At 40.1% G+C, this 27,834-nt stretch overlaps 1 protein-coding gene, 1 long non-coding RNA gene and 1 pseudogene across 12 annotated transcripts in view, besides 6 other annotated features; 2 read left to right on the top strand and 1 right to left on the bottom strand.

Annotated features, from left to right (window-relative positions):
- The window catches only part of PPM1K-DT (PPM1K divergent transcript), a 56,728-nt gene extending 56,204 nt beyond the window's left edge, over positions 1-524 (bottom strand). For all 3 annotated transcript variants that reach the window (NR_134238.1, NR_134236.1, NR_134237.1), the window contains exon 1: positions 393-524. This is a non-coding gene — a long non-coding RNA (PPM1K divergent transcript). The remainder of the gene's footprint in view (positions 1-392) is intronic.
- Positions 485-1,008: an enhancer, noted in NCBI's record as "OCT4-NANOG hESC enhancer chr4:89205598-89206121 (GRCh37/hg19 assembly coordinates)". NCBI's record gives its function as "activates a minimal SCP1, AML or CMV promoter by ChIP-STARR-seq in primed H9 embryonic stem cells {active_cell/tissue: H9 hESC(primed)}" and the evidence as "EXISTENCE:reporter gene assay evidence [ECO:0000049][PMID:30033119]".
- Positions 485-1,010: a biological region, named in NCBI's record as "OCT4-NANOG hESC enhancer GRCh37_chr4:89205598-89206121".
- Positions 531-750: a silencer, noted in NCBI's record as "silent region_15562". NCBI's record gives its function as "represses an Ori minimal core promoter by ATAC-STARR-seq in GM12878 lymphoblastoid cells {active_cell/tissue: GM12878}" and the evidence as "EXISTENCE:reporter gene assay evidence [ECO:0000049][PMID:35858748]".
- On the top strand, positions 893-27,834 carry PPM1K (protein phosphatase, Mg2+/Mn2+ dependent 1K). Of its 9 annotated transcripts, none has more exons than NM_152542.5 (7): positions 893-1,048; positions 6,812-7,310; positions 8,211-8,311; positions 16,548-16,713; positions 17,120-17,264; positions 20,319-20,453; positions 22,728-27,834. In NM_152542.5, exons 2-7 carry the CDS (start codon positions 6,871-6,873, stop codon positions 22,857-22,859), a joined length of 1,119 nt encoding a protein of 372 aa, NP_689755.3. In that variant the 5' UTR covers positions 893-1,048; positions 6,812-6,870; the 3' UTR covers positions 22,860-27,834. The 9 variants fall into 9 exon arrangements, with proteins under 9 accessions (NP_689755.3, XP_047305631.1, XP_047305630.1 ...); XM_017007803.3 differs by lacking the exon at positions 893-1,048 and adding an exon at positions 1,229-1,274; XM_006714111.5 differs by lacking the exon at positions 893-1,048 and adding an exon at positions 1,229-1,679.
- Positions 921-1,010: an enhancer, noted in NCBI's record as "active region_21711". NCBI's record gives its function as "activates an Ori minimal core promoter by ATAC-STARR-seq in GM12878 lymphoblastoid cells {active_cell/tissue: GM12878}" and the evidence as "EXISTENCE:reporter gene assay evidence [ECO:0000049][PMID:35858748]".
- Positions 1,051-1,110: an enhancer, noted in NCBI's record as "active region_21710". NCBI's record gives its function as "activates an Ori minimal core promoter by ATAC-STARR-seq in GM12878 lymphoblastoid cells {active_cell/tissue: GM12878}" and the evidence as "EXISTENCE:reporter gene assay evidence [ECO:0000049][PMID:35858748]".
- RNU6-112P (RNA, U6 small nuclear 112, pseudogene) lies at positions 10,147-10,248 on the top strand (annotated as a pseudogene).
- Positions 18,078-18,577: an enhancer, noted in NCBI's record as "H3K4me1 hESC enhancer chr4:89188029-89188528 (GRCh37/hg19 assembly coordinates)". NCBI's record gives its function as "activates a minimal SCP1, AML or CMV promoter by ChIP-STARR-seq in primed H9 embryonic stem cells {active_cell/tissue: H9 hESC(primed)}" and the evidence as "EXISTENCE:reporter gene assay evidence [ECO:0000049][PMID:30033119]".

The following is a 27,834-nucleotide window of genomic DNA, read 5'->3' as shown; positions in this document are numbered from 1 at the left end:
GCTGTCTCACCGAGAGACCTTTGTCTGCTGTCCCCTCTGCCCAAAACAATTCATCATTTTATTGGTTCCATGGCTGAATGACTGATGGTTTAAATGCCATCTTATAAAGTTCTCATATAACAATCTTATCTGAAGTTATCCTCCAGTGTCCACACCATGCCTATTTCTTTCCTTGACATGATTAATTACTATTCTATGTGCTTGCTTACTTGTTGGTTTTCTCCCTCTTCTTTGTTAGACTGAAAATTCTATGAGGGCAGCTATCGTGTCTAGCTGTGTTAGGGGCGTATCCCCAGTGCCTAGCAAATGTATAGCATACAAGACGTCCTTCAATAAACACAGAAATACTTGTTTAATGAATTAATAGACATTCCCTAAAGATCACAAGATACCTGTTCAGCCACGAAGAAGACTGCACTGTGCACTGCTGTTCAAAGACATGGCAGTGAAATCAGATGCCTTTCAAACTCTAAGCCTAAGCAGTATTGGCATTCCGTTCTCGGTTTCCTGGCTGTCACAACTACAGTCCCTTAGCCCGAAGCGAAACCCCCTCCGCGCTCCGCCCGCTGGCTAGGTACCAAGTCTCGCGGCCCCACCCACCGCGCAAGCGCGCCCCCTCTTTGGCTGGGGAGCTAACCTCGGGAGGGCGGGGCGCCGCCGCGAGCCACCACTGGCACAGGGTGACGTCGCTCCGCCGCGCAGCTGGAAGCCTGCGAAGTCAAATAGCAGCCGCGGGGAGGCTCGTTCCCATCGGCATCTGTGACTGGCTGCGATCGAGGGCCCGGGCGGCCGGCCAGCCGTCTCGCCGAGTGCGGACTGGCCGGATCTGCTGTCAGTCAGCGGGAACAGACTTCTCCCTCTCCATCTGGTCAACTGCGGGAGAAAAATTTTCGAGAATTTCCAGCAGGCAAGGCAGTGGCCGCTTTGACTGCTTGCTTCGGAGATCCGAGACGACGGAGAAGGCACTCTTATTTACCGACCAAGAAAGCTCCTCCCCCGTCCTCCGTTAGCTAATTAAAACATTTTTCAGGGACGTAGCCATCCAGAGGTAAGAGCCTAGAGAGTGCAATTCATTTATTTCTGCTAACCATGTATGCTGTTCTTTATTGGCGGTCGCGGAATGGAGAGTAAACGGAGAAGGGTTTCCCGGGAGGTCGAAGGGGAGACGTCGGTTTCCGTTCCCCCGCCCCCCGAGTCGGCGCTTGGCCGGCGGCCTCTCGGAGTTCTCAGAGCGTCGCTTTCTTCCCTTTGGAGGTCGTGAGCAGCTCGTCGGGGTGAGGCGGGGCCCAGCTGGGCTGCCTGCGCCCCGGGCGGCGGGTTTCCAGCCCAGACTGCGCTCGGCCTTGAATGTGGCCGCAGGCTGGAGGGCCAGCGCGGCGCGAGGCGGGCAGGGTGGGTGGGCTGGGACTGGAGACCCTTGCCCGAGGCCCCGGAAGCGAGGATGCTGCGGGGTGGGTGCCGCGTTGCCTCCCGGGCGAGGGAAACGTGGCGACAACGGGCTCGGTACGCCCAGAGGGAGGTTGGGAGGCGGAGACCTGGCGGCAGAAGGTGCCGAGGGAGCCCAGCTATTTGCGAGGCTTCGCAGGCAGGCGGGCGTGTGTTCTTCCCACCGTGTGTCACCCTGACCACCCGCCTGTCAGGGCCAGCGAGCCGAGGCCAGGATCCTGAGCTGTACCCAGGTGAGCTTTTCAGGAGGTCCGGCATCGTGAAGGATGCACAGCCCCGGCTGGTTTTGATCCGAAGACTTGGGTTTTACTTTGCGCAGGGAGCGCTGTAGTACTCAAGGCGTTGTAGCTGGTGATGTCTTTTTCAGCAGCCGCTTTCTGTAGATGAGGGAATTCACCGGATGTGACAAAGAGGCTCCAGGTGGAAATAGCCAGGGAATTTGCAGTCTCAAAAGCTCCACGGGCTTTTCTGAGCCTCCCACTGCTAACGTGCAGCAAGGCCTCATCGGTTCTTTCCGTCAGGGCGGAGGAATGAGGCTGTCCTTCGGTTTCAGAATGAGCGACTAAAGTGACAGATTACAATGACGATGAAAAAGAGCAATGAGACCGGTAGCAATGGCTCACGCCTGTGATCACAGCACTTTGGAAGGCCAAAGCGGGCTTGAGCCCAGGAGTTCGAGACCAGCCTGGGCAACACATCGAAACCTCGGCTCTACAAAACATACAAAAATTACCCGGGCGTGGTGGCATGTGCCTGTGGTCCCAGCCCCGGAGGCTGAGGTGGGAGGATCTCTTGATCCTGAGTGGTCGAGGCTGCAGTGAGCCGAGATCGCACCACTGCACTCCAGCCTGGGCGACAGAGCAAGACCCTGTCTCAGAAAGAAAAAGAAAAACAGCCATGGTTTGTGGTGTTCTGGTTAGGCAGCTGTGGCAGGAAGAAGAGCAGCACGTGCGTGTGTGTGTGTCTGATAAAATACCTTAGTTACAATATTTGAGTAGTGAGTTCTCGCTAATAATTTTTTCTTGCAACCTTAGTCATTACTACTGATCACCCAGGCAAATTCCTTGACTGCAATCCTTAGAGACGAGGAAAGAAGAGAGGAGAGTGGCTGGTGACATAATAGACTGTGAAGGAAAGTTCTTAAAGGCATTATAAAGTTACAGGTTTGGGATATAGTCTGTGGCTTGTATGCATATTTACTAACGTGTCTTAAAAGATATCTATGGGAATAGAATACTGAGTACTTTTCACTGCTCACATTTCACACTTTTCTCCAGTCACACATCTGAACATAGACATATTCACATTAAACCTAAGGGGAGTCCTTTGGAGTTTTTATTGTTGTTTTCTTTTTTCCCCTCAGGTAAAGCAGTAAATTTTCTTTCCCTTCCTCCTAGCAGGGTATTGAGAAAGAAGGTATTGGGGTCCCAATTAGCTGAAATACATTCTGGAAATTTCCATACTATTTGAATTTACTGGGATGCCTTAATTGATTTTCTAAAAAGGTCGATAGGTAAATATTTGGTTTAAGAATATTTAAAAGGGCTGTGTTCTCATTGTGGAAGTTGTAGATACCTAAATGCCACTTCATAATGGGCAGATAGGAATGCTTTCTTAAAATATTTTTTCTAGAGGGATAAAATCTAAGCAGGTTTCAGAACTTTAGAACTCCTGAATAATTTTGGCATGTGCTTAAACTGCCCTTTTGACCTGCTTTTAACATACAAGAACAGTTTAACTCAAATCCAGTGCACCTTCCTGCCAGAGAAAGTGCTTTCCTTTTGGATGACTTGACTTCCAAAGATTGAATATAATGTTAAAATGGTTTATAAAAATAAACTAGCCATGTTTTCCGATCAAAAAATTGACCTAAATCTCCCCTGCTTACTTAAAAAGATTCCTTCTCTCTCTTAGTTTGTGGAATAATGAACTCATCCCAATTTTTAATTGCTGAACTGACAAAAGACAATCCTTAGGTGTTTGCTAGTTTGTTCTCCACTCTTTTTGTTTAGAGAACACTGATTGCTTTTTTTTTTTCCTTAAGGTTTTTGTTTTTCACATCACAAGTTCTACTCCCCTTGCCTTGCTGGTCAAAGCATAGTCATTCCCATGGGCATCGGCAGAGCTGTGGGGTCTATGATGGCAGATCCCAATTGTGGAGTTCTGGAGGAGGAAACTTTTCTTAATGTGCAGGTTTAATTCAAAGTTGTTATTTACTTTGGGAACTCCAGCTGCCTTTGAATTGTTTCTTAGGGAATATGGAGGGGATTGATATGATTTAGTTACATTGCAGATGGAAAAGGACATGGAGCCAGTTCGTAACATCTCGTTTACCTAAGCGATGCCGACCTGTTTGTTTGTTTTTTATAAACTAGCTATATATCTGGGTCACATTTCATCTCTGCCAATAATATGCCTTAAAGTAGGTGGTTTCCTATGACTGCCTGCTTTCTGAGATGATTATAGAAACAATACACGAGGAAGGATGCCAGGTTGATGATTGATTTTAAAATACGCAGGTTTTTAGCCTTACAGAAACTGCTCAATTTGCATTTTATCTCATTTCTTAAAAATGTTTCCAGTGGATATTTGTTCTCTGTGAGAATGCAGTTCTATTTTATTATTTAAAAAAAAATTGGGGGGAGGATAAAGAGGAGATAAAACGGCAAGAATATACTAGAACAGTTGCAGAAAAACTTCAATATTTATTTATTTGTAATTCCAGAACTCTGATTTAAAGTAGGTGCATGACTGCAAAGTAGCTCAAGGCTGAATATGGCATATATACTTTCAGACCGAAGCCAAAAGAATAGTATTTTGCTAATCTCAAGTTAACTCTTCAAATACAAATATTTTCTAATAATTGTATTTCTTTAAAGTTCTTTTTTTTTTCTATATGATATAAAGCTGCTTTGGGAATTATCTCCAAATAATTAGTACTTCCATTACCTGGTAGATTGTATTGTAGTTTGAAGTCTCAATTCATCACCTATAATTAACATAATTGGGTTTTTAAATTTTTTTTAACACACCATTGCTGGCTTGAATCCATAATTGTTGCTGAATAAAATCTAACTCTCAATTAGAAGCAAAAGAACAAACATCTCTTGCAATGGAATGTGTTATTTCTCTCTCTCGCTCTCTCTCTCTTTTTTTAAATAGACAATGTCTTGCTCCATTGCTCAGGCTGGAGTGCAGTGGTGTGATCTTAGCTCACTGCAGCCTCTGCCTCCCAGGCTCAAGCAATCTGTCCACCTCATTTTTGTACTTTTTGTAGAGACAGGGTTTCACCATGTTGCCCAGGGTAGTCTCAAACTCCTGGGCTCAAGCAGTCCTCCCACCTCAGCCCCCTTAGTAGCTGGAACTACAGGCATGCGGAACCACGCCTGACTAATTTTTGTATTTTTAGTGGAGACAGGGTTTTGCAAAGTTGCCCACTGGTCTCCAACTCTTGGCCTCAAGTGATTTGCCTACCTCGGCCTCTCAAAGTGCTGGGATTACAAGTGTGAGCCACCGGGTCCGGCCATGTTAATTCTCTTTGATAACCAGAGATGCTGTGTCTCTGCCACTCTCCAACCCCCCAACAATGTTGTCTTACGAAGAAATGAATTTCAGCCTTCTATGCAGGATCTTGGCCAAAAGGCCAAGAAGGGATGACTTCCTAAGTCTTTGATGATACATTACTTGTTTTGGTGGCCATCTTTATTCTAAATTCTGTGACAGCAGAGCTCATATTTTTTTTAATTGCTTAAATATCTAAAGATTGAGGCCAGTCTCTGTGGCGCATGCCTGTAATTCCAATACTTTGGGAGGCTGAGGTGGGAGGATCACTTGAAGCCAGGAGTTCAAGAGCAGACTGGGCAACAAAGTGAGAACCCATATCTACAAGAAATTAAAACAAATAAACACCTAAGGATGTTCTTTGGAACCTCATTCTTTCTTTTGACTGTTTTACCCACCGAAAGAAGTAATGGCCTTCCCTATACATAGCTAGACTGATTTCCAAAAATTCATTGGAAAGTAATTGTTTGAAATCTGTAGTGCATTTTCTCATAACTGCACTCAAGCTGGGTTTCATTTGTGTATGTTTATACCTTTTGGAAAGATACATTTTTTCAAGTTCATTTTTTATTGTGAAATAATTTAAACATAAGATTGAGAATAATATACTATCTGTAGACCATCCACCAACATCATCAAACCTTAGTATTCTGCCATCTTTTCAAGTTGATTTTAAAAGAATAAAGTAATAGAACAAAATCCTATGGAGACAAATTTTTTATTTGTGTGGAAAATTCCCAGAAACAGCTCTACCTGCAGTGGGGTAGGAGTTCCCCTGGGTAACACCCTGTAATGCCAAGAGAGGTTTTAGGATTGAGTTTCAGGGTGGAGTCCAGAAATGGGGGTGTAAAGTAATCGTTTCAAAGAAGTGTAGTCTCAAGTGTCGTTGGGTTGTTAGGGTTGGGGAAAGGAGAGCTGCAGCTGTGAATGTAAATATATAGATCACTCGTTCAGAAATCAGGGCTGCTTGTCACAAATGCAGTGCTGCCAGGTTCCTGAGATCATACCCACATACCCTCCTAGTGAGAGAGTCTGCTAGGATGGGGAGCATCAAAACTGGCTTATCTTTGTGCCTCTGGGGTGTTTGCACACCAATTTATATTTACCATAGTAATATAGTATGTAAAGCTTAGTAGGTTAAGAAATGTTAAAATAAAACTTAGATTTATCCTAGATTATGTTTTTGTTAAAACTTGGCCATTCTTTGGAAACAGAACTATTTTAAGTATTCTATTAGCCTGTTATTTTTTCCTGAAGAGACTTTGTTGCTATTGTTAATATTTATCCCTACCTTTTCTTTAAAGCAATAGAGTTAATGAAGGGAAGTATATTTATTTATACCTGTATTCTGTGTTCTTGCTACTAGAAGTGTAACTTGGGGACCAGCAGCTTCTGTATCACCAGGGTGTTGGTTAGAAATGCAGAGTGACTCCACCCCATAGCCACTGGGTCAGAACATGCATTTTAACAAGTGATTGCAGGTTCAAGTTTAAGAGATACATGTTCTGTGTATGTGCACACTGTTAAATTTTTATAGAATTTAAATGCTGTGAATGCGGTAGGAAAATCGATTCATTTTTGATCCACTGTTCTTAGAAGCAGGCTACTGGATGCCTACCCAATATATAACATAAATATATGTATTTTCTGTCAAATCCTTTATGAGCTTCATTTTTGGTAATATTTGATGACATATCAGTTATATTCAAAATTTCTGATGGTCTCTCTCTCTCTGTCTCTCTCCCTCTCCTCCTCTGCCCCTCTCTCCCTCTGTCCCCTGTGACTTGCATCATTTTTCTTGAAGACATTCCATTATTGTTCCATTGACCTTTCCCTCATCACTGAGTCCTTTGGAGCTGAGTTATGTCAACAGCTGCCTTAATTACTTTGGTCAGAAGTGGTGGGAACCAGGTGAGAAGGAGAGTGCTGCTAAGCTCCCGCCTGCTGCAGGACGACAGGCGGGTGACACCCACGTGCCACAGCTCCACTTCAGAGCCTAGGTGTTCTCGGTTTGACCCAGATGGTAGTGGGAGTCCAGCTACCTGGGACAATTTTGGGATCTGGGATAACCGCATTGATGAGCCAATTCTGCTGCCACCCAGCATTAAGTATGGCAAGCCAATTCCCAAAATCAGCTTGGAAAATGTGGGGTGCGCCTCACAGATTGGCAAACGGAAAGAGAATGAAGATCGGTTTGACTTCGCTCAGCTGACAGATGAGGTCCTGTACTTTGCAGTGTATGATGGACACGGTGGACCTGCAGCAGCTGATTTCTGTCATACCCACATGGAGAAATGTATTATGTATGTACAATGACTTTCACTCCTGACTTTGCAGTTCCTATACTTCCTACTTAAACTTTCACCCTTTGGCTGAGGCTTCCAGCGTAAACATAGTTACTTGAGTGGTTGCATGCTGCTGCTTCACGAATGAGCAGTAGTTTAAGTGTGCCATTTATTACTTATGGTTATCACAATTTCAGAAATGCATGTTTTAACAACTCCCCTGGGGAAAGCATTAACCAAAATCTATAGCACTTAATTTGTGATCATTTTAAGTGAAGTGGCATAATGTACATGAGATAACCTATGAGAAGCATTTACTCCCATCAGTGTAGGACAGATAAGTGCTTCAGTAAATGGTAATTACTCTTTCAAGTGGTGTGAATAGCTTTGAATACCTGACTTGTTGAAAATAGCTTTGGATGATTGGCATTAGTGTGGAAAAATGCATTTAATGCAGGCATTTTGGAGCTCTTCCGTTTATTTACTTCAACTAGTATTAATGCATTTTTGAGGATCACATTACTGCTAAAATTGAAAGAGGGAGAACATGTGATGGAGTTACGACCATGTGACTATTTTTGACTTCCCAGTGACCATTTCTTGACTTCCTGTGTATACCGCATTCCACGAAAGAACTCACAATGGGAAGGAACTCTCGACCTCTCAGGGTTGTGGTAGTGAGGATCAATTCTTCAAGGACAAGGACTTGGACTTTCATTGTTGTGCCCTTAAAAGCTTATCACAGTGCCTGATACTTTGTGGATTCTCAATAGGTATTCCTTAGCCAGTAGGTCTTCAGCATTTGACAGGAAAATCCTGAGGCCCGTTGTGTGGAATGACTGCTAGCTAGAGTAACAGTGAGGAGAAAAACCTATTGTAAAATGATTGTTTAAGGCTCTTTTTTTCCTCCCCACAAAGGGATTTGCTTCCTAAGGAGAAGAACTTGGAAACTCTGTTGACCTTGGCTTTTCTAGAAATAGATAAAGCCTTTTCGAGTCATGCCCGCCTGTCTGCTGATGGTATGTAAAACTATCACATTCCTTGGATCCTAGGGAGTACATGGGGTGGGGGAGGAGTAAAAAGGAAACACTTTAAGTCCTTTGGGGGAGGGGATTTTAATGGACAATTGTTTGTAAGGATTTATGTAGAAATGAGTTTATATGAAGAATCACATTAAATGCTGTTGGGAACTCCAATTAATGTTAATACCTCACTTTTAAATGAAATATATTGGAGAATTTTTCAGAAAGAGAAGCCCCGAAACAGTTCTGATGTTGTACTTTAGTTTTTAAAAGATTTTAAAAATGTTTAATCTGTTTGCTTATTTTATGGACAAAATGTCCATACTATGAGTTTTGTTTTGGGTTTTTGGTTTTTTTTTTAGATGGATCTGGTGACCAAGTGCTGAAATACACTACAGGGTAATCACATCTAGCGAGGACAGTCATTGTCCAACAAGAAAAAAATTGCAAATAGGTCCTAAATAGAAAAAGACAATGGTTAATATGCACTAATTTGTATAACTAGAAGGAAAATATTTTTCTGTCACTTCTTAAAAAGCTCAATCTTGCAGCTTTTCTCTGGTAACTAGTGATATTTTCAGCATAAGGTCATGCTAGCTGAATTTAAAATTTTGTGTACTGTATGTCCTTAAATTTTGAAAGTGAAATGTTTCTGGTTTTGACTAAATTTATCAAAACCATTTCACGAAAATTCAGCAAACGTTTTCTAGTTAGCTAGTCCCAAATCTTTTGCTGTTAAAGTTAACCCTGAAAATTTCTGTACCAGCCAAATGAATGTGTGCATGTAACCTTGTAAATGATTTGAAAATGAATCATGCAATAATCTTGATCTGTATTTGGTTCATCCTTTTCTTAAAAAAAAGAAAGAAACCAAGTGCACCACAGAAATGTCATTTGCACAGTCTTCAGTTGGAATACATAAGGATAGAGATTGTTTGCATTTCACAGCGAAGGAACTGAAGATTAGAGTGGTAAAGGTCAGTTCAGAGTTAGGGCTGGGATTTTCCTGACCACCAGCATTATCTCTCTTCTCTCATGAGGAGAGGAGAAGGTAACTCTGCGATGGCTCTATTTACCATCTTGAGATTTTTTCCTGAGCTTTTTTTGAGAACCTTACTATCACACTCCTCAGGAAAGCATTACAGTCCACTCTCTTCAGGGATATGTTTTCCAGTTTGTAGATCATTTAGGCCCATTTTCTTTTCTTTCATTCCTTTGGAATTTTTCTTTTTCCTTTCAACTGGACCCTTACCTTTAAGAAGACAGAAGCTGAAAGAGGTAAACTTTATGCATAAGACTTAGCTCTTGTTCCAAATAGTTAAAACACATGAAGGAAAAGAGGAAATGAAATATTTTCTTATGGTTTTATTTTTATTACTTCCTGAATTTTGGTATGCTCTTATTTCATAGTAACTGAGTTGGCTGTGCATCTGGCTATGTCTCACACCACAATGTTTGTTGACTGTAGTGTCGGTGGTGTGCCCCAGCTGTTCTGTAAATAGCTGCAGCTTACTGGGCAAGGTTTTTGGATGAGAATGTCCAAATTTATCCCAGGCATGTGACCACCAACCAAAAACATTGGCCTTCTCAATGCCATCAGCCTCTTTTAAAAGTATCTAGTCAATGTAGATGCTTAAACCAATCGGTGATTGACTTGATGTAAAATATGACAGGACTCCTTTTATTATTGAATGAAGTATAACTCAACAGAATTTTGAACTTAAAGAATTTAATTAACTTGCCTATCTTAAAAGAAACTTTCTAAAGATACCTTTGTCACAAAAACATTAAACAGTTGTATAAAGAAATTAATCACAAAAATGTAATTCATATGCTAACTTCAGCAGCACATACACTAAAATTGGAATGATACAGAGATCAGCATGGTCCTTGTGCAAGGATGGCACACAAATGCATGAAGAGTTCCATATTTTTTATTCTTACTAAAATCAATTCATTTGTAATAAAGAAATTAAAATGCATTATTTAATTTAATTCCTCTATCATATGCTTTGAAGTAATGATCCCAGAACATTCTTAAGATATTTTAAAATGTATTTTTCATATAATGGTAATTTGTTTGAAAGTATAATGGAGCAAGACAAGATGATGCTCTTAGTGTGTACTAAAAGAAAAGGTCTATTATAATATTGTTATTAAATCTTATTTTGTTATTAAATTTGTTATTTGTTATTAAAATCTTATTTTGTATATATTCTTATCGGTCTGTGTTTTTTAAAAATTAGTGTTTTGAGAACATTTAAAAATTTTATTCTTGATAAGTTGCCAGAGCCTTCAAAGATGGCAAAAATTGTCTTGATATTTAGGGCCTATTTTATCAAATACATTAAAGCCACTAAAGATAGAATGCCATATGTTGTGTAACTGTTCAGTTTATGGATTTTTTAAAATGTCATTTTAAATTTCAAAGTTATTATTTAAGTTTAAAACTTTAGTTTTTAGCAAGAACTGAAGCAGTATCAGTATTATAAGAGTGGATAATATTCTTTTCGGCCTATGTATATAGATAGGACCAGTGCCAGTGAAACAAAATTTTGTAGTAAGTGCAGTTTACCCTCTCCAGTTTCTTTCATCTTTTCTCTTTTAGTATTAACCCCTTTCCCCTCTTCTTGAACCCTTCCTGTGAGGTGAAGGACTGTGGCTTATTCATTTTTGAATCTCCAGTGTGCAGCACCCTGCATAGAACCTGGCAGGTACTCAATAATTATTTGGATTGAACTGAGATCTCCACGCTGACTCTTTCTCACTGAAGTTACTGTAATTTTTTCTTTGATTATCATATAGCTGATTTAATCAAATTATTATAAAATGTTTGCATTTTAATGAGCTGTCACTCCTGGGTGGATTTGAATTTTAGTTAGCAGACACCTGAAAAAGGCTTAAACCATAGAAGTGAATTACTAATGGTGAGATTTTAGGTATAAAAGAGAGGCGTGCCGCTCAGTCCTACTGAAGCAGCATTGCTCGTCTGGCGTAATACTTGAGTTTCATTGTCTCATACCAAGGAAATCAAGGACGAGGACACACAAGGAGTGAGGTTAGGAGTGGAGACTTAATAGGTGAAAGAAAGAGAAAAGCTCTCTCCTGCAAAAAGAGGGGTCCCAAACAGCTTTCTAGTCCATGGTGAAGTGCAGGAGGCTTTATGGATGAACTTGAGGAGGCAGTGTCTGATTTACATAGGGCATGAAAGATTGGTTGGACCAGATGTGCCATTTGCATAGCACACGAAAAACTGATTAGGCCTAGGTGTGCAATTTGCAGAGCATTCAAGAATCTGGCCACCCCCACCCTAATCTTTTATTATGCAGATGGGTTCTCTACCTGGCCAGCGCCATGTTGCCCATTTCTTTACACATGGTGACAAAGAAAAGGGAAGATGGAACATATTGAACATGCTTGGCCCCAGGTAGCCCTTTTCTTTTTCTTTTTTTTTTTTTTTGAGACAGTTTTGCTCTAGTCTCCCAGGCTAGAGTGCAATGGTGCAATTTCAGCTCACTGCAACCTCCACCTCCCAGGTTCAAGTGATTCCCCTGCCTCAGCCTCCCAAGTACCTGGGATTATAGGCGCCTGCCACCATGCCTACCTAATTTTTGTATTTTTAGTAGAGGCGGGGTTTTGCCATGTTGGTCAGGCTGGTCTCTAACTCCCGACCTTGGGTGATCTGTCCGCCTTGGCCTCCCAAAGTGCTGGGATTACAGGCGTGAGCCATTGTGCCCAGCCCAGGTAGTACTTTTCTATTGGCACAGCTGCTGGCATTCACCTGTGCAAGCTTCCAGCTTGCTTATTTATGTTTGCAGCTCAATTTTTCAGGTTGCTCTTTGTTAGAAAAGAAATGGTTTGGAGGCTGCTTTTTGTTAAAAGGGAAGCCTTGCCACGGACTCCTTTACCCTCACTATGTGCCTACATAATTTATTTCTAGCTCCTGTATCAATACCATATTAACTTTCTTAAGTGAAATTAAAACATTCTTATCTCCTCTCAACTTCAGTTCCAAAGCTGTTACAGCTACATAAAGAACTTCAAATTATCTTACTAACATTTAAAATATTTACTGTTGAATGGCATTGCTGTTGCCTGAGCAAGTTCACACTCAAGTTACACTTAGTGAGAGCTCTTTTCTGCCCGGCATGTGTGAGTTCAGCGTGGGCAAGAGACTTTTATGTGCATTCAGTCCTTTCAGAAATGAGACGATGCCAACCACAGACGCAGCATGTCCTGGATGACTGATCTGTAAAATATAATAAAAGCTTATTGTTTGAGTAGAAAATAAAATAAAATAATTTACTGTTGTAGCTGGGGATATTTTGAAAAGAATAAAATCAAAATGCCACTTATCAAGAAATGGCAAGAACAAGATTCCCTTGCCCTTAAGAAATTGTCAGCTATTTTTATTGCTTTTTTGTTAATGCATTTTCAACCTGTCCTTAGTTATCAGTAGCAAATTTCATCACCATCTTTTAATTTTTTTATTCAATTTATACCAGTAATGTCTACTTTTACAATTAATAAAAGCAGCCAGTAAATCCGGATGATATCCCACCAGTCCGTTGTTTATAAAGAGATAGCCACTTAGAACAAACTAGATGGTAGAAAATTAGGTTATAATTCTATATTTCCTATAAGCTCTTCAGAGTGTTTCCAGATTGCTTAAACTTTGAAAGCAACAAAGCTCCGAAAGGGACAAATGGAACAAAAAGAGAAGACTTGCTCAGACATTCAGAGTGGGGGACATTGATGGCATTATGAGTCTCACCAGAAACTTTTATGTTCTTCATATCCTGTGACCTCTTTATGGAAGAATTAAACTACAAAAGAACCAGGGCTGTAAACACAGCATTTTTGAATCCCCTATGCCGGGACAGCCAAAAGAAAAAAAAAGAGAGCATTGATGAGATGTTCTTACCGTGCTGCTACTGCTTCAGCTCATTACTTTGATTTTGGTGTTCATGAGTCATGAGTCTAGAACACCCATTTTTAATAAATATTGAAACTGTATTGGTTTATACATAGTATTATTTACACAATTGAGTAATTACTAGGGGTCATTATACTTTGAAAAGTATAGCTTTTGCTCTTTATGTTGGCATTCACAATCTTGATCATTTTTCTTTTGATGTGTCGGCCTGCAACACTGGGGGAAAGAGAGAGCTGCAGAAATACCCATTTTGTGAATTATACAAAATTATAAACATGCGTCTCGCTAGCCTTTATTTAAGCAATGAATTTAAATTAATCATTCTACTCAAAAATGCCTTATAGGTACTAAGTCTCTGCATTAAGCACCATTAACAAATGCATTACTCTATGTATCTTGTATAGCGGGTGCTTTGATTCCTTCTTGATATATATTTAAGTCCCAGTAATTTGGTGGTATACTGTAGTTTACATCCTGCTTGTCAGATACAAATTCTTCCATGCTGTAACTGTAGATTTACCTTTCTATTCTTGAGACAATTCTGATATTGCTACCAAACAAATTTACAGTGCATTTTTTGTAACTCAGTAAAGGTAGTGATTTACTGTGTTTAAGACCAATTATTTCAGTGAATGTGTATATGCGTGAGTGTTTTTGTGAGTGTGTTAAATGTAGGTCTGTGTCACCATTTATGTGTCTTGGTACAGATACTTTTTTATATAGTTTTTTCAACCTTAGAAACCACAAAATTAAGAAAGAAGTGTTACCCTGTGATGAAAAAATAGGCTCAACTACAAAATACCATCAACTGGAACAAACTGAGTTTTGGAATAATTGATTTGGCATCTCCTGGAATATTATATAATTTGCTAGTTAAATTTTCACCAAAATAAAAAACCCTTCCCTTATTTTGCAGCTCTTTCTCTGCTCTCCCCTGTGTTGCAGGTTTGTAATGTTTGAGCACAATTCCTGGGTGAAATTCGTATTTGCCTCTGTGCGTGTTATTTGTGGCAGAGAACTGTGCCTGGTCAGCAGCTCTAGACCTGGAGCCCGTGGACACTATATGCGGGGCTTCAGTGGAAAGAGAGATCTGCTTAATTTTGTCCCAGGTGAAGGAGTCCAGCGGTTCCTATCCTGGACTACGGGAAGGTTCCCACATCTCTTTGTCCCATTAGTTGAGATGACTTGCAGTAGAAATTGTCCAGTGAGTGTTAAGAACTTATTGAAAGATGTCTTAGTTTTCTAGTTTTGTTGTTAGGCAAAAAGTGAGAATTTTTACTTCCATGTTAAATGTTAAATGAAAATGAATGCTGATTTAATATTTACATTCTTAAATGCTTAGCAAATCAGAATTGACAGTTAGTTTTGAAGCCTTTCCTATAAATCCTGGGATTTTGGAACTGTGAAGTTGGGTTGGTAAAAACTCAAAGTCTTAAAATTCCTAGGTGACAGAGCCATAAATTACAAGCCTAAATAACTAAACTTCTACTTATGAAATTTTAACTCTTTTACTGTGGCCAATAATAAACCATTTTTAAGAAAACTATTGTAGATGGTTTAAACAAATGGAAGGAATATTAAATTCCCGGGACAGGTAGCATCTGAATAAATGCCGTGTTCCCTTATCTGGCTCTTTAAATCGTTTGAAATATCATAGTTAGTCAAACTGTAAAGATTCCACTGTTTCATAGTCGTTTGGGTAATTTAAAGTTACGAGTTAACATTTGTAATATAAATATCACTGATACTTATGCTAAAACATTTATGTTATATGGTGGACAAATGTATCTTTCAACATTGCAGAAATATTACATTGGCACGACAGTTCCAAAATCAAGAGAAAAATGGAAAGATAGTGCAACTATAAATGTTATTTCTCAAGAAAGTTCAGCATGACTATAAAAGATTAAGTAGAGTTTGTTCATGCTTTTCCATCTTACTTTTCTGATTAAAGCAGGCATTTTAATATACTGATTGGAAAAATCTATTTATGTATATATCTCCTTCCAATGCATTACTGATGAAGTTTTCAAAATTATCTTTTTGGGGAGAAAAAAAAAGCTTGGAAAGATTGAGTCTTAATCAGTCAAATTAGTAGCACTTCGTTTTTCCTAAATGTACCTTTAAAATCGAAGTCATCTTTGGAATGTTTTAAAGAGTTAACAGTGTTACTAAAGACAATACCTGCTTTAAATAAGTTATCTTTTCCGATTTCTTCCACTTTGTTTTATTTTTTAGCCCATAATTTCACAATATTCTCACTTTTGACAAGGCTCAATGCAAATTAACAATTTTTAACAAGTGGTAAAGAACTTAGGGCAGACACTGTTAGAGGAAATCAAAGGAAGATGCAGAAATGCAGTCTGAGTTGGATGGAGGAAACGGTGACCTCAAGCCCAGTAACAATGAATTTTATTTGTTATTAGAGAAAATTCATATTTGTGGGATGCTCTGGGCCCAAACAGGACCCCAGGAGTTGCAGCTGGCAGTACTGCCCTGCGTTTGAAGACTACCTCTTTGTATTACAACCTTCTGGAGTTAGGAGTGTTAACTACACCAAGTTTATGAGAAGCTAGAATGAACTTCATTCTCCACCTCCCCTCCCCCAGATTTTCTGCTCCTGTAATGATGGTTGTAACTTTGTTTCACGTCTAGGGAGGACAAAGATAAACAGAAAAGAATGTGAGCCTGTAACCATTTTAGGATTTTTTTGGTGAACATTTATAAAATTAAAACAGTTTTAGAAGCATACAGGGGTAGAATATGCAAATGGTATACCCTTGGCATGTCTCACTTAGCCTACTAACTGATAATATGTTCACAGCATAGGAGTGAAAAATGGAAGAGAAAACCTTCTAAATCCATAGACTATAGAAAAGTCAGCTTGCCTCCATGGGCTCAAGTAGACCTAAGTCATCCCACCATCATAGCCAACCTAATTAAATTTTAATACTTTCAGTCTGGACACCAGATATCCATGAAGGTGTTGTTATAAGTTCAAGTCAGCTCTACTTGATATGAATAGAGGCCATTTGTAGATAGTGATGCAGTGTTTGCCAAATAAGGTTAGCAACCTTTCCGTTTGCATGGAGACTTGTTACTGAATTAAATACTTGTTTCTCTGCATGCTGTTACTTACATAGTTCATTTGCATTTTATTTGCTTAGCTCTAGTTAAATTAGAATGATATATTCCAGCATTAGTTTATCATGCTTGTGTTTTATTTTGTAATAAAAATTCCATATCCAATCATTTGACTGTCACTAACTTGTACTCTTTTTTTCATAATACTTGTAGCAACTCTTCTGACCTCTGGGACTACTGCAACAGTAGCCCTATTGCGAGATGGTATTGAACTGGTTGTAGCCAGTGTTGGGGACAGCCGGGCTATTTTGTGTAGAAAAGGAAAACCCATGAAGCTGACCATTGACCATACTCCAGAAAGAAAAGATGAAAAAGAAAGGTACTACCACCACTGATCCATCATATCATTCTATGTGGATGATGTTTTTAGTTCATAATAGTTTTTAAACTGATGTCATGGTTAAGTTTAACAGTGACTTGGTTTTCTTTTTGTTTTTTTGAGACAGAGTCTCACTCTGTCGCCCAGGCTGGAGTGCAGTGGCGCAATCTTGGCTCACTGCAAGCTCCACCTCCCGGGTTCACACCATTCTCCTGCTTCAGCCTCCTGAGTAGCTGGGACTACAGGCGCCTGCCAACACGCTCGGCTAATTTTTTGTTTTTTAGTAGAGACGGGGTTTCACCGTGTTAGCCAGGATGGTCTCGATCTCCTGACCTCGTGATCTGCCCTCCTTGGCCTCCCAAAGGGTTTTCTACATATCACACCATTGTCATTTAACTTTTAACAGGATCAAGAAATGTGGTGGTTTTGTAGCTTGGAATAGTTTGGGGCAGCCTCACGTAAATGGCAGGCTTGCAATGACAAGAAGTATTGGAGATTTGGACCTTAAGACCAGTGGTGTCATAGCAGAACCTGAAACTAAGAGGATTAAGGTAAGAAAGGACCTGCAAACACTTGATAAACCTGCGGAGAGTGAATGTAGGATTGTCTCTGCTGCACCTTTCTTGGAAGCCTTAACTGAAGCCAAAATGATTTTTAAAAGGGAGTAATTTATGGAAGGATAAAAAAACTTTTCAGGTAAAATAAGATGCTACTATTCTGGCCTAATTTATTGTAGAGGACAAAACAATTCTCTTTTTCCCCCTTTTTAGGTTCTTAGTTGAGACACTTTCTTGAAAATAAAAGTCAGATTAACTACAACAACAACAAACAAACAAGCAGACATTTGCACGTGCTGAACCCATTGTACGGGAAAGGCCTCAGTTAAAAGTATTTCTCTTCCAAGGCAGTGGCTTAGGGGCTTTGCTTAAATTGTATTTAAATAGCCATAGATCCTGCATAGTGACAAGATAAAGAAGAGAACAGTTTCAGTCTTTTAAAAGTCAGGAAAATGTGGAGAGATAGTAAAACCTGTTCCCAGATTTCTCTGGTGCCTGCTGGTTCCTTCTCTGGGCCAATAAACAAGTGCTGTCTCCAGTAAAGAAGGACTGATGTCCTGCCACCAGGCAAGTAGAGGCTGAGGAAGTGTACCCCTGCCTTTTCAGTGACTTGACTTTAGCAATCCTCAATATTTCGGGGAGAAATATTTTGGCTTCCCTCAGTTTGAAGTGTTAGGTTTTTGTTTCACCCCAGCTATGGAATTCTCCTGGTGAAATGGTCCTGCTGTTCTTCCTCACCTGCACCCAATCAGCCAGCATCACCTGCACTCAATCATGCAGCATCACCTGCACCCAGTCATCCAGCATCACCTGCACACAATCAGCATCACCTGCATCCAATCAGCCAGCATCACCTGCACCCAAGCAATCAGCATCACCTGCACCCAGTCAGCCAGCATCACCTGCACCCAATCAGCCAGCATCACCCACACCCAATCAGCCAGCATCATCTGCACCCAATCAGCCAGCATCACCTGCACCCAATCAATCAGCATCACTTGCACCCAATCAGCCAGCATCATCTGCACCCAATCAGCCAGCATCACCCGCACCCAATCAGCCAGCATCACCTGCACCCAATCAGCATCACCTGCATCCAATCAGCATCACCTGCACCCAATCAGCATCACCTGCATCCAGTCAGCCAGCATCACCTGCACCCAATCAACCAGCATCACCTGCACCCAATCAGCATCACCTGCATCCAATCAGCATCACCTGCACCCAATCAGCAGCACCTGCACCCAGTCAACCAGCACCACCTGCACCCAATCAGCATCACCTGCACACAGCCAGCATCACCTGCACCCAATCAGCCAACATCACCTGCACCCAATCAGCCAACATCGCCTGCACCCAGTCATCTAGCATCACCTGCACCCAGTCATCCAGCATCACCTGCACCCAATCGGCCAGCATCACTTGCATCCAGTCAGCCAGCATCACCTGCACCCAATCAGCATCACCTGCACCCAATCAGCTAACACCTGCACCCAATCAGCCAGCATCACCTGCACCCAATCAGCCAGCATCACCTGCACCCAATCAGCATCACCTGCACCCAATCAGCCAACATCACCTGCACCCAGTCAGCCAGCATCACCTGCACCCAATCAGCTAGCATCACCTGCACGCAGTCAATCAGCATCACCTGCACCCAATCAGCATCACCTGCACCCATTCAGCCAGCATCACCTGCACCCAATCAGCATCACCTGCACCCAATCAGCCAGCAACACCTGCACCCAGCCAGCATCACCTGCACCCAATCAATCAGCATCACCTGCACCCAATCAGCCAGCATCACCTCCACTTGGAAGCTGCCCCAACTTCCCTTTTCCACCAAGCCAAATAATCGCCCACCTCTACTTCTGTGGCATCCTTTGCATGCTACTAATCAGTGTCTTCATTGTCCTGAACTGCCCCCCAACACACACCCAGTCCATGAGCTGACAGTTCTCTAAAACTCCTGAGCCACTATAGTCTCTAGCACAGTATAGTGTAGGCTTCCAAAACTGGCAGCAAACACTTGTTAATTAATTGCATGAAGGGTTTCAAGTCTATAGATATCCCACATCGTGTGTTATAGATATCCCACTTCATTTTATCTAACAGATACTTAGGCAGAGTTTACTATGTGCTGGGCTCTGTTCAAAATAAGTACTACTATCCCCATTTTTCAAGGAAAATCTAAAGCATACAGAGGTCAATGCACCTCTGCTCACCCAGCCAGATAATAGAGGCAGGATTCAAATCCTAGAAGCCTGCTCTTAGAGACAGCACTCATAACCATTACATTGAGCTACCTCTCACCATTGGGCTATCTGGATTCTCCCTTTGTGATGTTAAATTATGGAATTAAATCAAGATATCTTGAAGGGTGTTTGCTAAATTGTTAGGCGTGATTACCTCTGGTGATGGGATTTCAGAGGATTGCAACTTCTTTACTCTTTACTTTTAACTACTATTTATATTTTACTAACTAAATATTAGCTTTATCCTTGCTGGTTAATTCTAAATGTTACTACTTTTGCCCAACAGGTAGGCTTTACATTTTCACTGTTTGCCTATGTATTGGTCTGTTCTCACACTGCTAATAAAGATATACTTGAGACTGGGTAATTTATAAAGGAAAGAGGTTTAATGGGCTCACAGTTCCACATGGCTGGAGAGGCCACACAATCATGGTGGAAGGTGAAAGAGGAGCAAAGTCATGTCTTATATGGTGGCAGGCAAGAGAGCATGTGCAGGGGAACTACCCTTTATAAAACCATCAGATCTTGTGAGACTTCACTATTATGAAAACGGCATGGGAAAGACCCACCGCCATGATTCAGTTACCTCCTACCAGGTCCCTCCCACAACACATGGGAATTATGGTAGCTATAATTCAATATGAGATTTGGGTGGGGACACAGCCAAACCATATCAGCTTACAAGCTGTTACACAGATGACCGCTTAGCAAAACAGGTAAAATCTTTGAATTAGCGAGATTGTGCTAAGGCAGAGTCTAGCTTATAATCATAGGCATTTGGTTCTGATTGCAGTTACATCATGCTGATGACAGCTTCCTGGTCCTCACCACAGATGGAATTAACTTCATGGTGAATAGTCAAGAGATTTGTGACTTTGTCAATCAGTGCCATGATCCCAACGAAGCAGCCCATGCGGTGACTGAACAGGTGACCCAGAGCTTCTGCCTGAAAAGTCCCAAGGAGAAGGAAGGAAAGGACAGTCCAGGCATTGTGTTTTAGCTTTTGAGTGTTGCAGTGAATTTTACACTTGATTCCATAATATTTCCAATTATAAAATTTTTATTTCCCCAAGTTAAAATTTTAATATGCCAAGGAAATGTGCTTTGTTTATTCTTTGGCTTTGTATATACCTTGAAATGATAGTAACAGCAATAGTAAATTATAATAGTAAACTAATATTCACTTGCTATGTGTCAGACAATATTCATATGTATTAGCTCATTACTGTATGTATTGTACAGTATGTACAGTTACATATATTGTAATCATCACAATAACCCTATTAGGTTGGAGCTATTATTGTCCTTTTTCACAGATGAGGAAAACAGGTACAGAGGCTACAGAGTTAATCACTGAAGGTCATAAAACTATTAAATTGCAGAACTGGACTTCAAACCCAGACAACTAGGTTCCCAAGTCCAACCACTTGACCGTTAAACTAGAGTGCTCCAAGCAAATATCCAATTTGAAGATATAGCATAGTCACCTTCTGGTTATTCAGAATGGGTGTGTGGAGAAGATAAACCAAAATACCAAAAGGCATAGGGATGAGGTTGTGTGTCAGTCAGAACTAAAATTAAAAGAAAGCTGGGTAATATCCAGTAAAGAAAACATAAACTATGCTTCGTATTATTTAAAATATTAGAGGCATGTTTTAATTCAACAGCTATTTTTGCATTTCCCAAATTAAGATAATAGACCTTACTTTAAAAGTATTATTTGCTTAGATGGGCAAACATGATTATAATATATGAATTATTCATTTGGTTACTGCCTTCACCCGTGCTAAACAGGGTATTCATGAAATTGAGGAAATAGGCCCAATTTCATGGATGAACACTTCTTTCCTAATTTCAGCTGCCTGTCTTGCAGATATTTGCATTCTAATTCACAAAGGTAATGAAATTTGTAATGAATGCATAGTGTTCCATTTTATTCTTATACATAATTCATTTAACAGTTCCTCTGGTCAAGAAATTTAGTTTATGTTTATTTTTTCCATTCTATAGAGGAAGCCCAGTAATAAACATTCTGATGTCTATTTGTGCATATCTGTTTCCTTCAGGAAATAGGTTTCATTCTTAGGAATAGTATCCAGGTGTGGTGGCATGCATGTATAGTCCCAGCTATGAGGGAGGATGAGGTGGGAGGATTGCTTGAGCCCTTAGAAATACAATCTTTAGGCCAGGTTTGGTGGCTTAGACCTGTAATGCCAGCACTTTGGGAGGCTGAGATGGGAAGATTGCCTGAGCCCAGGAGTTCAAGACCAGCTTGGGCAACATGGCGAGACCCAGTCTGTACAAAAAAAAATATTTTTTTTACTTAGCTGGGCATGGTGGTACATGCCTGTGGTGTCAGCTACTTAGAAGGCTAAGGTAGGAAGATCACCTGGGTCTGGGAGGTCAAGGCTGCAGTGAGCCGAGATCGTGCCACTGCACTCCAGCCTGGGTGACAGAATAAGACCCTGTCTCAATAAATAAATAAAATTTCTAGATGAAAGAATACACAATGTTCTAGAGCTTTTAATAAGTTTGCCAAATTATCCTCCAGAAATACTATACCAATTTACACTAGCATGTTCTACAGTTTGTTTTTCCAAATTCTTACCATATTTTTTTTTCTTACCAATTCGATAGATGGAAAAATCAAATTTTAGTGTAGAAATTTTTATCTTTTTTCTTTGTTGGTGGAGTTAGCTATTTGCATAGGCTTATTAGCCATTTGTATTTCTCTTACGATTATGGCTAGTTTTTTTGTCTTTCAATTTCCAAGGTTTTTATTCCATTAGGGTAAATTTCCCTAAAGGGAATTGAATTCCTGGTAAGAGCTAACAATTATCAAGTCCTCACCGTGTGTTACTCCCTACGCTGAATGCTTTACAGGTATCTTCATTTTCAGGAGCTGCATACCAATGCCCCTTAGTCCACTGGTGTTTCTGTTGCCAAAATTGCTACAGCAGAATATAGTTAATATGGTTGTTTTGGGTCATCTGTTATTCCGTGTGCAATTTAATAATCCTTGTGGGCATTAATACAGGGTGAAAATCACAAACCATTGTGAAATAAGTAGGTTAGTAACTGCACATAAGACCAGTTTGGCTTTCTAGGGGAAGCGTATTTCCAAGGGAAGGAAAGGCTGATTTCTCTTTGTATAGACTGTGATTTCCAATGTTTTTCTCTTTCTTCCTGCCAAACCTTGCAGGCAATACAGTACGGTACTGAGGATAACAGTACTGCAGTAGTAGTGCCTTTTGGTGCCTGGGGAAAATATAAGAACTCTGAAATCAACTTCTCATTCAGCAGAAGCTTTGCCTCCAGTGGACGATGGGCCTGATTACCAGCTGGGACTTAGAGTTTCTGTGCAACAGTTTTTCACTGAGCATGTCAAGAAACTGATAAGATCAAAAAGGTCTCCTAACTCACTAGATCAGCGCACAAGTCAGTGTAAACCACTTAGATAGTAGTTTTTTCATAAATGCTCATCATATTTATGTTCCGCTGTACATGTTCAGTATAAATATATGTGTAGTGAAGCTACTGTGAGTCTTTAAATGGAAAGAGCAAATGAGAAGTGGTTTGGATACACTTGATGAGAGATGAGAGTGTCACATTAATAATTTTTAAGACTCTTAGGCAGCTATGGGTTTCTTTTGATCATTTTTGTTCTTTATTCATTTGAACACGTTTTTGAAGTTCTTCAAAACTAGTCAGTTTGAATTTTGACAGCTATTCAATATGTGATCTCCAAGTTTAAAAAAATTTTTTTCCAGACTTCCCTAATCCTAAAATGCGAGTTTTTATTTTTAATAACTGTACCAAGGAATAAGTATGAAAACAGTTCTCTGTTACCATATTTTGTATTCTGGACCACTTACTGGTGAAAGCAACCATGCAAAAGAAATTAATTTGGCCAGGCACAGTGGCTCATGCCTGTAATCCCAGCACTTTGAGAGGCCAAGGTGGGTAGATCATCTGAGGTCAGGAATTCAAGACCAGCCTGGCCAACATGGTGAAACCCTGTCTCTAGTAAAAATCCAAAAAAAAAAAAAAAAAAAAAAAAAAAATTGGCTGGGCGTGGTGGCAGACACCTGTAATCCCAGCTACTCGGGAGGCTGAGGAAAGAGGAATCACTTGAACCCAGGAGATGGGGGTTGCAGTGAGCTGAGATCATGCCATTGCACTCCAGCCTGGGCAGCAAGAGCGAAAAACTCCATCTCAAAAAAAAAAAAAAAAAGAAAGAAAAGAAATTAATTCAGATGATGTGACATTACTAAATTGTATACATATTTATAAATGTGTATTTCAGCTGTCTCATCAGCCCTCCCCTCCATTTATTCCTATTTTTCTGTAGTTAAGAATACTGTAAAAATGTGACTATTCCTTAATATCAGAAAAGAATGCACAGGCTGAGTCTTCCGGTCAAAAGTTAAATACTGATGGAATCAAGTATTTTGTATGAAGTTCTCATTTGTTATCTCTAACGCTATTTTGTGTTTTGCATATAGTATTATAGTATGTGTATATCACTTTTTGTATAGAGTAAGCAATTGAATAATTTGTTAATAAAAATAATACCACATTGACTGATACTGCTATAGACATAGCTTGAGTTTTATGTCTCCTTTTTGCTCATTTTCTAAGACTTAGGAGAAAGAATAAATCTAAAATGACCATTAAAACATTCTCCATTTCAGCTTGCTGTGTAACTTAGGAAGTATAAAACTATACTTCTCTTTATCTGCATGTAAGTTTGCTGTTAAAATGTGAATTTCTAAATGTGTATTTGGAATTATTTCCGTAGTTTATTTCTGCAAACTATGTAAATTTGTTATATGTGTGAGTATGTGTACATATGTATATTTTAGAGTAATATAAAATTAAAGGGAACAATCTTGCATAGCTCTTTCACCAGTTTTAAATTATTGATACGTTATTTTTAAGGACTCTTGACAAACTAGGGGCAATTTTCTTATAGTGGAGACCCAGTGATTATCAGCAGATGAGGAAATAGGTTAAAAATTGCTATATGGCAATTTGTATATAAAGTAATAGGATGTGAGAAAAATACTGAATCTTAAGAATGACATGGAATTCTGTGGCAGAAACAAAAGAAAAAGTTGATGTAGTATATACCTTCAACTGTGTTTTGAGTTGACTTTTTTTTTTTTCTTTAAGCTTTGGGTAAAAATGTATGAGGAGGGAGAGGGCCCAATATAAATATTTACATCTTCTTACCTTTTTGGAAATGGAAGAAGATAAATCTTGAGTTTTTCTGCCTATATTAATCAGGAATTGCCCTTTGAAAAAAGTGCTAAATAAATATTTTGATTTTTTTTTTCAAGGGAAGTTAGGTGAAAGAAGGAAAAACATCACAGGAAAGACTGTTAACATTCTGTTTGTTGTCTGAGAGGTGAGGAACCAAAGGGAGGCAACTAAAGCGGGAAACCATCTTGCTTTTTCTAATCAGTTCTTGGAACAGAAATGTGGAAGCTACCTTTAGGAACATGGAGAATTTCCAAACCAACAGGCAAAGGAAAACTAACGCACAAAAATGACATTCTGAAGATGCAGGTTTCAGCCAGGCGCGGTGGCTCAAGCCTGTAATCCTAGCACTTTGGGAGGCCAAGGCAGGTGGATCACCTGAGGTCAAGAGTTAGAGACCAGCCTGGCCAACATGGTGAAACCTCATCTTGACCAAAAAATGCAAAAATTAGCCAGGCGTGGTGGTGGGTGCCTGTAATCCCAGCTACTGGGGAGGCTGAGGAAGGAGAATTGCTTGAACCTGGGAGGCGGAGGTTGCAGTGAGTCGAGATCGCGCCATTGCACTCCAGCCTGGACAGCAGAGCAAAAACTCCATCTCAGATAAATAAATAAACAAATATGCAGGTTTCATTTTTGTTTTGAATGCTTTACATTACTATTCCTATCTTTTACTTTAAAAACTAAGATGAGGAGTGATGTTGTCAAGTTCAAAGGCATGAGGGTGATTGATGGATTGAGGTAGATAGCCAAGTTTGTCTGTTTTTGTTTTTTATAGTTACAGAGTCTCACTTTGTTGTCCAGGCTGAAGTGCAGTGGTGCAATCATAGCTCACTGAGATTGCCAGGTTCGACAAAGAGGAATTTATAGGATGGGGATATAGGGTAGACTTGACTCTGCTTTATCCGGGAAAGCTTTTAAAACTCTGAGCCAGTTAACTTTGAGTAAGCATAAAACATACTGTATTGGTGTTTGTATTTTTCATGCCACAATATTAAAATGGAATTTTAAATGTAGATTATTATAATCTATAAAAGATAAGTATGCATGTATTAGGATACTGGAAAATATGCAAATCATAGTAAAAAAAAAGGGACTGCTCTAGTTTTTCAGTTATAACTGAATTTGCCATGTGGGTATAGGCATAGTGTAAATTACATTAATGTAGTAAAACATCAATTGTGGTTCGGTTTGTCTTTCATTTATGTGTAGTATAGAAATCACCTTTCTAATATGTGTTGCCAAACTATTTGCCACCATCTATTTGGTGAAATATTCATTGTCATTGTGATTTTCCACAAGTATAAGTTCTTAAGTACTTTATAGATTCAGAAGTAAATGCTGTCCTGTTCTCCATCAGCTGTTCGTTTGTTACAGATTTTGTATTTCTTTTTTTTTTTTTTTGAGATGGAGTCTCACTCTGTCACACAGGCTGGAGTACAGTGGTGCGGTCTCGGCTCCCTGCAACCTCTGCCTCCCGGGTTCAAACGATTCTTCTGCCTCAGCCTCCTGAGTAGCTGGGACTACAGGCGCGTGCCACCACCCCTGGCTAATTTTTGTATTTTTTTTTCTTTTTTTTTTTTGAGAAGGAGTCTCTCTCTGTCACCCAGGCTGGAGTGCAGTGGCACGATCTCGGCTCACTGCAAGCTGCGCCTCCTGGGTTCACGCCATTCTCCTGCCTCAGCCTCCCGAGTAGCTGGAATTACAGGCGTCCGCCACCGTGCCCGGCTAATTTTTTTGTATTTTTAGTAGAGATGGGGTTTTGCCATATTGGCCAGGCTGGTCTCGAACTCCTGACCTCAAGTGATCCACCCACCTCGGCCTCCCAAAGTGCTGGGATTACAGGCATGAGCCACCGCACCTGGCCAGATCTTTGTATGTCTTAAGTGTTTCAAAGTTATAAGCATTTTTCTGGGGGGATGTCCATTTTGGAGGGATCCATTTTGATCCTTTGTACTCTATAATGTGAACTTTCCCCTGTTCCAACACTTAAAAGAGAATTATTAGCACATAATCTAAAAGATGGAATTTTTTTTTTTTCTTGAGACAGAGTCTCGCTCTGTCGCCAGGCTGGAGTGCAGTGGCGCGATCTTGGCTCACTGCAACCTCTGCCTCCTGGGTTTAAGCGATTCTCCTGCCTCAGCCTCTGGAGTAGCTGGGACTACTCGTGCATGCCACCACGCCCGGCTAATTTTTGTATTTTTAGTAGAGACAGGGTTTCACCATATTGGCCAGGATGGTCTCGATCTCTTGACCTCGTGATCCACCTGCCTCGGCCTCCCAAATTGCTGGGATTACAGCACTGTGCCCTCCTAGGAAATTATTTTTTAAGTGAAATTTTATTTTTATTTTTTTTAGGATTTTGGTAGAGAATGAGTAGGCCTACTCATCAATATCAAACAGGACATTTAGTTTCTTTCCTTAGAACAGACATAAATTTAATTTCATGGTAATATGATAATAAGAAAATGCTTCTATTTTTCTTTAGCACCTCCATGGTTCTCATATACCCATGTCTGTAAAAAGTGACATGAGAATTTTGTTGGGTTACATTTTATTGTATTTATTAGATTCGCTTATATAGATGACTTAGGCAGAAATAAAGTCATGTCTTTAGAAGGTGAACAAGCCAACTTGTGATGGCCTGCCTTTTGCTTTTGGCAGTTGGGATGAGAACAATTGACTCTCCCATTGGTTGTTAGATAGTTGAAATGGTGCGTTGGTGGTCATACTTAGTGTTCTAGGCTGTGAAATCATGGAGTTCTTCCACTTCCAAGAATGACTCATTTGCTGTTGGATTCTAGTACAGAATTTAGCAGCCTGATGTGTCCCCAAACTGATTTAATTTCTACTGAAGTGCCCTTGTGTACATTTGTTTTGTAATTTACCAAAGTACTACCTGAGTGTATAATGACTCCTGCAGTGAGTTAATGTAATTGCTGCTTTGACCATTGTTTTAAATCTGTGTACTAGAGTAACTGTGAGCAGAATGAAATCACATTATCTCAGTGTTCAAAATATCATTCTAATAAAGTACATGCATTAAACAA

Source organism: Homo sapiens, chromosome 4, assembly GCF_000001405.40.
Source record: "Homo sapiens chromosome 4, GRCh38.p14 Primary Assembly".
Classification (NCBI taxonomy): Eukaryota; Metazoa; Chordata; class Mammalia; order Primates; family Hominidae; genus Homo; species Homo sapiens.
The sequence above is the reverse complement of the archived record's forward strand: the minus strand, read 5'-3'. Positions and strand labels throughout refer to the sequence as shown.